We start from the raw sequence: 12,336 nt of genomic DNA, 5'->3' as shown, positions 1-12,336 counted from the left end.
TTCAGGCTCTTTTTCATCAAATATAAAACCCAGCCCAGTTCATGGCTCATTTGGCAGCAACCCGGAGATGCTTTACAGCCCTAGACCCTAAAAGGTCAAAAGGCCATCTTATTCTCAATATACGTTTTATTACCCAATTTGCTCCCGACATTAAATAAAACTCCAAAGATTAAATTCCAGCCCTCAAACCCCACAACAGCACTTAATTAACCTCGCTTTCAAGGTGTAAGATAATAGAGTAGAGGCAGCCAAGTAGCAACATATTTCTAGGTTGCAATTCCTTGCCTCCACTGTGAGACAAACCCCAGCCACATCTCCAGCACACAAGAACTCCAAACACCTGAACCACAGCTGCCAGGGGTTCCCCCAAAATCTCTTCCCCCGGGAGCTTGCTACAAGTGCTGGAAATCTGGCCACTGGGCCAAGGAATGCCCGCAGCCCAGAATTCCTCCTAAGCCATGTCCCATCTGTGCGGGACCCCACTGAAAACCAGACTGTTCAACTCACCTGGCAGCCACTTCCAGAGTCCCTGGAACTCTGGCCCAAGGCTCTCTGACTGACTCCTTCCCAGGTCTTCTCAGCTTAGCAGCTGAAGACTGATGCTGCCCGATCGCCTCAGAAGCCCTGTAGACCATCACAGATGCCGAGCTTTGGGTAACTCTCACAGTGGAGGGTAAGTCCACACCCTTCTTAATCAATACAGAGGCTACCGAATCCACATTACCTTCTTTTCAAGGGCCTGTTTCCTTTGCCTCCATAACTGTTGTGGGTATTGACAGCCAGGCTTCTAAACCTCTTAAAACTCCCCAATTCTGGTGCCAACTTAGACAATACTCTTTTAAGCACTCCTTTTAGTTATCCCCACCTGCCCAGTTCCCTTATTAGGTTGAGACATTTTAACTAAATTATCTGCTTCCCTGACTATTCCTCGACTACAGCTACATCTCATTGCCGCCGTTTCCTCCAGTTCAGAGCCTTCTTCACATCCTTCCCTTGTATCCCCTAACCTTAACCCACAAGTATAGGACACCTCCATTCCCTCCCTAGCAACCGATCACATGCCCTCACCATCCCATTAAAACCTAATCACCCTTACCCCGCTCAACGCCAATATCCCATCCCACAGTACGCTTTAAAAGGATTGAAGTCTGTTATCACTCACCCGCTACAGCATGGCCTTTTAAAGCCTATAAACTCTCCTTACAATTCCCCCATTTTACCTGTCCTAAAACCAGACAAGCCTTACAGGTTAGTTCAGGATCTACACATTATCAACCAAATTTTCTTGCCTATCTACCCCATGGTGCCAAAGCCATATACTCTCCTATCCTCAATACCTCCCTCCACAACCCATTATTCTGTTCTGGATCTCATGCTTTCTTTACTATTCCTTTGCACCCTTCATCCCAGCCTCTCTTCACTTTCACTTAGACTGACCCTGACACTCATCAGGCTCAGCAAATTACCTGGACTGTACTGCTGCAAGGCTTCACAGACAGCCCCCATTACTTCAGTCAAGCCCAAATTTCTTCCTCATCCATTACCTATCTCAGCATAATTCTTCGTGAAAACACACGTGCTCTCCCTGCTGATCACATCTGGCTAATCTCCAAAACCCCAATTCCTTCTACAAAACAACAACTCCTTTCCTTCCTAGGCATGGTTAGGTACTTCCGCCTTTGGATACTTAGTTTTACCATCCTGACTAAACCATTATATAAACTCACAAAAGCAAACCTAGTTGACCCCACAGATCCTAAATCCTTTCCCTACTCCTTTCCGTTCCTTAAAAACAGACCTAGAAGCTGCTCCCACACTGGCTTTCCATAACTCATCCCAACCCTTTTTCATCACACACAGCCAAAGTGCAGGGCTGTGCGGTTGGAGTTCTTACACAAAAGCCGGGACCACGCCCTGGAGCCTTTCTGTCCAAACAACTTGACCTTACTGTTTTAGCCTAGCCCTCATGTCTGCGTGCGGTGGTTGCCACTGCTTTAATACTTTTAGAGGCCCTCAAATTCACAAACTATGCTCAACTCACTCTCTACAGTTCTCATAACTTCCAAAATCTATTTTCTTCCTCCCACCTGACACATATACTTTCTGCTGCCTGGCTCCTTCAGCTATACTCACTCTTTGTTGAGTCTCCCACAATTACCATTGTCCCTGGCCCAGACTTCAATCTGGCCTCCCACATTATTCCGGATACCACACCTGAACCCCATGACTGTATCTCTCTGATCCACCTGACATTCACTCCATTTCCCCATATTTCCTTCTTTCCTGTTCCTCATCCTGATCACACCTGGTTTATTGATGGCAGTTCCACCAGGCTTAATCGCTGCCACTCACCAGCAAAGGTAGGCCATGCTATAGTATCTTCCACATCTGGCTACCACTCTGCCCCCCTCCACCACCTCTCAGCAAGCCAAACTCATTGCCTTAACTCGGGCCCTCACTCTTGCAAAGGTACTACATGTCAATATTTATACTGACTCTAAATATGCCTTCCATATCCTGCACCACCATGCTGTTATACGGGCTGAAAGAAGTTTTCTCACTACACAAGGGTCCTCCATCATTAACGCCTCTTTAATAAAAACTCTTCTCAAAACTGCTTTACTTCCAAAGGAAGCTGGAGTCATTGACAGCAAGGGCCATCAAAAGGCATCAGATCCCATCACTTAGGACAACACTTATGCTGATAAGGTAGCTAAAAAAGCAGCCATCAAAAGGCTGATCCCATTGCTCAGGACAATGCTTATGCTGATAAGGTAACTAAAAAAGCAGCTGGCGTTCCAACTTCTATCCCTCACGGCAGTTTTTCTCCTTCTCATCTGGCCACTCCCACCTACTCCCACTAAAACTTCCACCTATCAATCTCTCCCACCCAAGGCAAATGGTTCTTGGACCAAGGAAAATATCTCCTTCCAGCCTCACAGGCCCATTCTATTCTGTCATCATTTCATAACCTCTTCCATGTAGGTTACAAGCTGCTAGCCCATCTCTTAGAACCTCTCATTTCCTTTCCATCATGAGAATCTATCCTTAAGGAAATCACTTCTCAGTATTCCATCTGCTATTCTACTAATCCTCAGGGATTTCTCAGGACCCCTCCCTTCCCTACACATCAAGCTCAGGGATTTGCCCCTGTCCAGGACTGGCAAATTGACTTTACTCACATGCCCCAAGTCAGGAAACTAAAATACCTCTTGGTCTGGGTAGACACTTTCACTGGATGGGTAGAGGCCTTTCCTACATGGTCTGAAAAGGCCACCACGGTCATTTCTTCCCTTCTGTCAGACATAATTCCTCGGTTTGGCCTTCCCACCTCTATACAGTCCAATAACAGACTGGCCTTTATTAGTCAAATCACCCAAGCAGTTTCTCAGGCTCTTGGTATTCAGTGGAAACTTCATACCCCTTATGCCTCAATCTTCAGGAAAGGTAGAACACACTAATGGTCTTTTAGAAACACACCTCACTAAGCTCAGCCTCCAACTTAAAAAGGAGGACTCTGTCAAGGATACAGCCCAAAAACTTGCCAACCATGCAAGTAATTAGGCTGAACCCCCTTATGCACTCTCTAATTGGATGTTCTGGGCCCTCCCAATTCTTAGTCCTTTAATACCTGTTTTTCTCCTTCTCTTATTCGGACCTTGTGTCTTCTGTTTAGTCTCTCAATTCATACAAAACTGCATCCAGGCCATCACCAATCATTCTGTATGACAAATGCTCCTTTTAACAACCCCACAATATCGCCCCTTACCACACAATCTTCCTTCAGCTTAATCTCTCCCACTCTAGGTTCACACGTTGCCCCAATCCCGCTTGAAGCAGCCCTGAGAAACATCGCCCATTATCTCTCCATACGACCCCCCAAAATTTTCGCTGCCCCAACACTTTACCACTATTTCGTTTTATTTTTCTTATTAATATAAGAAGACAGGAATGTCAGGCCTCTGAGACCAAGCTAAGCCATCATATCTCCTGTGACCTGCACGTATACATCCAGATGGCCTGAAGTAACTGAAGAATCACAAAAGAAGTGAAAATTGCCAGTCCCTGCCTTAACTGATGACATTACCTTATGAAATTCCTTCTCCTGGCTCATCCTGGCTCAAAAGCTCCCCCACTGAGCACCTTGTGACCCCCACCGCTGCCTGCCAGAGAACAACCCCCTTTGACTATAATTTTCCACTACCCACCCAAATCTTATAAAATGTCCCCACCCCATCTCCCTTCACTGACTCTCTTTTCAGACTCAGCCTGCCTGCACCCAGGTGATTAAAAAGCTTTATTGCTCACACAAAGCCTGTTTGGTGGTCTCTTCACATGGACGCGAGTGAAAAATAATGCCCCAGAAGTAGGGCTCCTCTAGATTTCTCTGAACTAACAAACAAATCAATAATGATCAGGCTGGTTTGGATGATAAATATATTTCCTTCTCTGCTAATTTCATAGGAATGGCAAATCCACATATTGTTTGTAAGATAAAGCTCATGGATTATAATCTTGAATCCTAAATCCTGACGCTGATATGCTGTTTCCTCTGCTCCCTGATCCTATGAGGTAGCAGAATGGCACAATTTCCTAGGATCACTCTAGCTGCTATTGCTGAAATCATGCCTACACTTTTAAGGCTAACACAGAGCACATAGTCAGCCCATGTAATAATTCAGCCCACAAATGAATCTTACTTGGATGATATAGTGTAATTTCTTTCTTTTGTTTTTAGGGGGCAGGTGGTCCCCAAATCGAAATGGTCCTTTGTACTCCTTATTGTGTTTTTCTCAATGTAGGCAACTGCCTGGTCCCTGAAGCCATATGAATTGCACATCTCCTAGTGAAATGTAGCAATTTTACTAGAAGACGTGTGATAGTATTGGCTAATAGGCCCACTTAGTGTTACTAATAATTCTTTGTCTACTAGGCACACCCATGTAGAGCTGGCTTGGTCATCCTGACTCATGGGCTCATATTTCAAGCTTACTCAGACAGTTAATTGTCAGAGTGTTTGATTCCAAAAACCACATGCTAAATTTCACTGAGTTATGGCACTTTGGTATTTCCTAAGTTATGGCATTTTGGTATTTTGCTGTTAAAATGCTGGAAACAATATGCCTGAAATTTTCCCCTAGTAGAATATTTAATTTTTTAATTTAGCATTTTTATATTTTAAGCTGGCCCAATAAACCCCAGAACAGAGTTTAAAATGTACCCAGAAGCTTGAGTTTACGAGGCAGAACAAATACCAATCAGACTTACAAGTCTTTCTCGCATGGAAAACTTGACCTACTCATGTTGAGTGAGTGTTCCACAGAAGAAGCTTTCCTTAGCCAAACATTCTGGGAAAACTCTCTGATAAGTATAGGTAAATAACCTTTTTTGTTGGTCTTTAGTATGCTCCAAGAAGAGCTACAGTACATGCTACTTCCCAAATACATTTGTCTAGTAAAGTCTTTTTGTACAAAATATAGTCTTGTACAAAATATAAAGTCTTTTGTACAAAATATCTGCTCACTAGTATTCGAAGGCACATGCTTTGAGAAAGGCTGATGGAAGCTGGTGAGCAGAATGCGTGACAAACACTTAATAAACACTTAATCCTGGTGCCTGAGCTACCCCTAAACAACAATCAGACCTTTTGAGCAAATCTCACAACTGCTATGAGTTACTCTTCATTCATTTAGAAAGTTAATAGGTTATATTCTCTTCCAGCTCAAATAGTTTCTGACTTGCCTCAGAGCTTCATAATATTATATTTGGTCACTTTCACTAAATGATTAATGGAGACAAAGAAAAAGAATACTACCGTATTAAACAGAATTCTAGGACTTTCCAGGGCAACCTGACTTTGCAGAACTACAATTAGTATTCCAAGGTAACATGGTAATAATTTCCTGAGACTCGTGGCATTTTCTCTAAGTGGTGTTTCAAGTCGTGAAGTGTTAAGATCACTAAAAAAGTCTGCTGTTGGCTGCTTTATTAATCCAAGATTTTTCAATGGAATCATCACCAGAACCCTTAGACAATCCCACTTGTAGTACAGAAACTGAGAGAGGCTAAAGAATTTCCTTATTCAGTTTCTTAACGTTGGTAGAAGTAGGTCTAAAGTTAGGACTCCCAGGGCTTCCAATTTATCTATATGGTTGGGTTTTCCTTCTTTACTGCAGTGAATGAGGATGGAAAAGGAGGTCACAGGTCCATCTCCTCTCCTTCTGAGTCTTCACTTCCTAGGGTTTATATCTAATGACTCATCTTCAGTATTAGCTTAAGTGGCCTGGCAACAACCAGAACACTGTTTTCAACAGCAATTTGTCTTTCAATGGCTCAGGAAGTGGGATCATTTTGTACAAGTCACAAATACAGCCCACCGAGCTCCCCAGTTTATGACTTTTCTTTTTAAACTTAAGATATAGGAAAAAAAATATTCACTTGTTTATCAACCTAAGGAAAAATAGGTTTTCTTGTTATGAATAAGAACAAAGAGTTGGCTGAAAATACCACTTCTAATTAGGTAATGAAGTTGTAATAAAGTACATTCAAAATGAAAATTAATTTCCATTAAGCAACTCACTCTCGGCACTGTTTGTTCTTATCACAGATACAAACATATGCTTTGACTTTTCTTCTGGATAATAATCTGTACTTGAAGAATGGAAAGTTTTCTGTTATATATTTGAGTCCAGAAAAGCTACCTAACTGTCCTACATGAGAAATGGCCAATGTTTGGTGGTGGATGGAAAGTATACATGAATTTATATCTAATTTTTCCAACAAGGTTTGGTGGAAATGAATATGTGAGTGTGTGTATGTGTGTGTGTGTGTGTGTGTGTGTGTGTGTGTCTACACAAAAGATGGAAACAACTCAAACTAGCACTTAAGCAAAAAAAAAAAAAAAAGTAATGTATTGGCTGGGAAATCTGAAATGTGTATCTGGTTTCAGTATGATAAGATCTGGGCCCCAGTTTGTGATTCCTGTACTCTCTTCTCCCTCTCTCTCCATATACCTCTGCTGGGTTTCAATCTTAGGCTCTCTCTCCGTCTATCACCAGCAAGATGTCTGCTCATAACCCCAAGACCACCTTGCCCTTATAACTCCTGGCCCTCAAAGAAGAGAGAGACTCTTTTTCTGCTTTCACAGATCGCATCGCAAGGCAGGGTTTTGGTGGGCCTGTTTGAGTCATGTGCTCATGGCTGAGCCAATTACCACAGTCAGAGTAATGGGCTACTCTGATTGGCCAGTCTTGGGTCATGTGTCCACCCTAGTGTCAGGGGAAAACAGGGCTCTTATCCTACCAACATGGAGGGAAGGACAGCTTTCCAAAGGAAGATAGGCTGGGAGCCACACACAAGAGACAGCTAGTCCAAAATACACAAACTTCCTGGCAATCACAGCACCAGAATGCTGAATATAACCTCCAAGTTCAGTTATTCTTCTCTTTCCTACACAAGGTCCTACTGAGGCACACAGCACATTTACAAACCTCTTCCCCCAACCGACTATTCCCCTTCTCTGAGGTATTTGCTAATTGGAGATGGAAACCCAGACACTCAAAAATGTAATAGAAACAGAAAGAGTAGTGAGACAAAGTTTCTAGAATTCAAAGAAAAGCAAAAAGCTTCTTTCTTTATTGGGAAATTGTGTTTTGCTTAGATTTCAGGAATTTTCTTTCTTTTTTTTTTTCTTTTTTCTTTTCTTGGCCTCTGGTTTGCAATAGTACAAAATAAGGATAAAGAAGAAAAATTAAACATAGCATTCTACTATCCTACTCAAATGTTCCCCAGCCTACTAGTCAACTGGTTGGAGAACTATAAAACATAGTTTATAGTCCATAGTTCATAGGTGGAGAACTATAAAACAAAGAGAAGAATAACTGAGCTTGGAGGTTACATGTTTGTTTATTTGCTACACACACACACACACACACACACACACCCTCACACATTCATTTCCACCAAACCTTGCTGGAAAACTTAGATGAGTGAGCACTGACTTCTGGAAAACATTTGCTGAAGACTCAGGTAGAATCTACGATTCACGATTTTTTTCTTTTTCTTTTTTTCCTTTCTTTTTTTTTTTTTTTTTTTGAGACAGAGTGTTGCTCTGTTGCCCAGGCTGGAGTGCAGTGGCACTGATCTCAGCTCACTGCAACCTCTGCCTCCTGGATTCAAGCAGTTCTGTCACCTCCGCCCCCGAGTAGCTGGGATTACAGGCACTGGCCACCACGCTCAGTTAATTTTTGTATTTTTAGTAAAGACAGGGTTTTGCCATGTTGGCCAGGCTGGTCTCAAACTCCTGACCTCAAGTGATCCACCCGCCTCGGCCTCCCAAGGTAGTGGGATTGCAAATGTGAGCCACTGCACCCGGACTTTTTATTCATTTTTCTTTAAATACTGGCTTGCCCTCTGAGTCATGGTTTTCGACACTAGCTGGTGCCCCTGTCTGGAACACCCGTCTTCCTGCCCACTTGTGGCCTCTTCTGTCCTCCATCTTCATCTCCACAGAGAAGCTCTTCTCCCCGGTCTGTAATAATGACTCACTCATCAGTTTTACCAATCACAGAACCCCATTTGTTTCCCTCATGGAGAGAATCACAGTTGATTACATGTTTGTTTATTTGCCTATTTATTATTAGTCCTAGATTATAAGCCCCATGAAGGCAGAGTTCTGCTTAATTTGCCAATGTCCACCAGCAACTAGCATAATGCCTGGCACTCTATAGAGGGCAAAAACTGAAAATAAAGTATACCAGAAGAAAGAGGTAACTTAGGACTTCTTGGTCCTTGGGCAGGCTGAAACAAAAAAGCAAGGGGAGGCTTAAACTACTAGGCACAGATAGTTTCTTTCTGGCAGAAATTGGGAATGTAATGAGACAGAGTCGGTGTTGGGGGGACCAGAGCCTCTGCTTCAGGCACCATCTGTGATTCTTCCCATCTTCTGTACCCATTTCAGTGTATGCTCCCCATTCTCTGTCCTGGCAAAACTTGCTCTCAGGAAAGAGCAGATAAAACTCCTTCACTGTGTCGTATGTGACTAAAAACAGCTTAATATGATAACCTGTGCCAGGGCTTTTTGAATTTTAATACAGACCAAAGCCTCAAAATCTAACAATTTCTGCCATGGAGCTGGGGAGGATAGGAGATATACAGGGTGTCCTCAAAGTCTGGGAAAGAAAGCAAATATGCATAAGGTGGTCTATGATATCCTCAATGTGTAAAGTAATAAAGTATTATCTATGTTTCTATACTTGATGGACTTAATCCTATATTTCCCATTATATACATATTTTCTAACATATATACAATATATAATGCATGTAAGAGGAGAGAATGTTTAAAACTCACACATTTAGAAGGTTCTAGGGTTAAAATGAGAGAAAATGGATTATTCTTGACCAGACATAAAGAAGGGGCAAGACAAATAGCCTAGCACTCTGGAAAAATTGTCATAAAATGCTGTGGGGTAAGACACCAGCAGAGAAATGGGAAGACACAAGGGGAGACGGAGAAGGACAAAAGTTCTCTTAATCTCAGACTTCTAAGAGTGAGGTTGGAAATAAACATGTTTGCCTGGGGTAGATGGACTGGGATCTAGAGTGTGTTTACTTACATGTAGAAACATATTTTGTTGTTGTTTTTATCAGGGATTGAAGCTGAAGTCTGAATAAATCTATCCTTAACCACTGTACTTTGGCTAAAAGAACTGTCTAACCAACATTCATGGAATTCAGGTTTCTAAAGAAAGATGCTTCTTCTGGGACACACCCTGTTGGATTACAGGTTTCTAATCTCTCTTGAAACAAAGAATGCATTTAATCTCTCTCTAGATGTGGAGCCAAACTGGTGGTGAAGGCCCCACCATAGTGTCCTGTTAATAAAGGCACTAGGTCACCATGGTCATGTGGACAAAGTCTTTGCATAGTGGCCTGACCATTTTGTGTAACAATTCATACTTCCAGACTGGCCATTCTCAGCTAACCAGGTTTTTTGAGTCCTTGCAGATGAGCTCACTTCCAACCTGTTACCTATCCCTGCACCTCAGCTGTTCAGTACTATGAGTAGTATTTACACTAATATGTCAACAAACTACTTGATTCCAACTTAGGAAAGTATAAATAATGCTACTAACAATTATAGGTGCTGGGCTTTAAATAATGTAACTTGCTTTTGATTTTTTCTTTCTGGAAGTCACCACTAGAGACTTAAGGAGGATGAAATGAATAGTTGGGTACCAGCAAACATCTTAATGCCAGAAAAAACTTGCTGACATCACAGACACTCAGAAAATCAGACCAGACATGACATGTAGTACATACGAAAATGGCACCGACCTGTACAAAGGGACGGAGCCCAGTGTTCAACTGGTATTTCATGCCTGGGTTATAAGTTTCCTTGAGCCATGATGACCATTTTGTCTGTGGTTTTCTGCTAGGCCTTGGATTAAAGAACAAATATAATGGTAATTTTATGCCCTTGTCCCTGCCAATGAGCCTGTCAAGAGGATTTCTCAACTTTCAATACTTCTTTTCTTAGCATGAAAGAACAAGTTGATACCTCAGTCAATACTGTCATTTCTTCAAGCATTTGAAATATTTTGAATGGACCACAAAAGCTTTGGATTTCTTGTATCGCTTGTAACCATTTCAAATGGACCCTAATGCTTAATTTAATTTGTATTGGGGATTGCTACACTGACTGATCATATTCTCTCTGTAAAGTGGTTTTGGAAATTGTGAATACTGGAATTTAATTATACAGACATATTTTTCCAATAAGGGCTTGTTCCGTTTTGGCCATAGATATGCCTCGGGTCAAAACAAGCTGCTCTGTGAAAAATGAGGTACATAAACCAGTTAGAAAGAGAAACTCCTGGTGTGAGGCTACAACATAGACTAATGCATTCACACAACTCCAGAATGTACACAGACAGTTCCACCTGCATAACCGTGGAATTAGAATGAACTCTTCTCAATTCCCATTTTACAGGCAAGACTGAGAGAGATTGAAAGTCTTGTCCCATCACAGGGCTGGTTAATGGCAGAGTAAGACTGAGCTCTGCGCCATGACTTTAAAATGAAGCATTGCCTTCACCTTATGATCCTTTTTAAGTAAAATCTGTTAATTTTCTCAATCAACAGAAACATAATGACTGACTGATTACTAGGTTCCAGGCACTAGGATTTGATTGTGAAATAGTGTAGACCCCGTCCCTGCCCTCCCGGAGCTCACATCCACACGGGTGAGACAGACAAATACATAAAATAATAACACACTGGGATATGTACCATAAAGGAAACACTCAGGGGGCTGAGAGAGAATAATAGTGAGTATCCACTTTACCTACCTAATGGTAGCTCCCCACTTTCGACAGAAGGGGCATTTAAGCTCAGAGATCTGAAGGATGAAAAAGAGATAGCCATGGGAAAAGTTTGAATGGCACGAGAAGAAGATTCCAGGCATTCAGAGGTGCCTTCAATGATGTTGAACATGAGGCCAGTCTAAACTGTCTTCTGAAAAGGGCAAGCCTATTGTGTCCAAGGATGGATCAACTGCCTGATCTCCAGATATATTTAATACCTGGCCAATTCCTCCTTCAGTCCAGGACAATGCTTCTTATATCCATAAGAAGGGAGCTCCTCTTGTTATTTAGAAGGAGATGCACATACTGTTCCATCTTCTCCCCACCTCTGCCATCTATCTGTAAAGTAAATGCACCTGACACTGGTAACTTAAGCATAGCCTTTGAATGACACTGTATGGCTGATGCACCTTGTATTAGTCTGTTTTCACACTGCTATAAAGAAATACCTGAAACTGGGTGATTTATAAAGGAAAGAGGTTTAATTAGTTCATGGTTCTGCAGGCTGTACAGGAAGCATGAATGAGGAGGCCTCAGGAAGCTTACAGTCGTGGCGGAAGGTGAAGAGGAAGGAGTCACATCTTACATGGTCAGAGTAGGCGGAAGACAGTGAAGGTGGAGGTGCTACACACTTTTAAACAACCAGATCTTGTGAGAGCTCACTCACTATCATGAGAAAAGCAAGGGGGGAAATCCATCCTCATGATCCGATCACCTCAAACATTGGGGATTACAATTCAACATGAGATTTGGGCAGGAACGCAAACCCAAACCATATCACACCTGAATGTATGTTTTGAGTTAGGGAATTGGATGTTGGCAATCCAGAGATTTCTTCCTTGTCCGTGAAGAATATCTGAGCCCTGGGCCCATCCCATGGAACACGGGCCATCCAGGGGATTGAGGCCCTGAGTTTGGGTTGGATGGAGGTTGCCAGGTGGAGGTGGTAAGGGGAGGGTGTTAAGTGAACT

Source organism: Homo sapiens, chromosome 2 (assembly GCF_000001405.40).
Source record: "Homo sapiens chromosome 2, GRCh38.p14 Primary Assembly".
Taxonomy (NCBI): domain Eukaryota; kingdom Metazoa; phylum Chordata; class Mammalia; order Primates; family Hominidae; genus Homo; species Homo sapiens.
The sequence above is the reverse complement of the archived record's forward strand: the minus strand, read 5'-3'. Positions refer to the sequence as shown.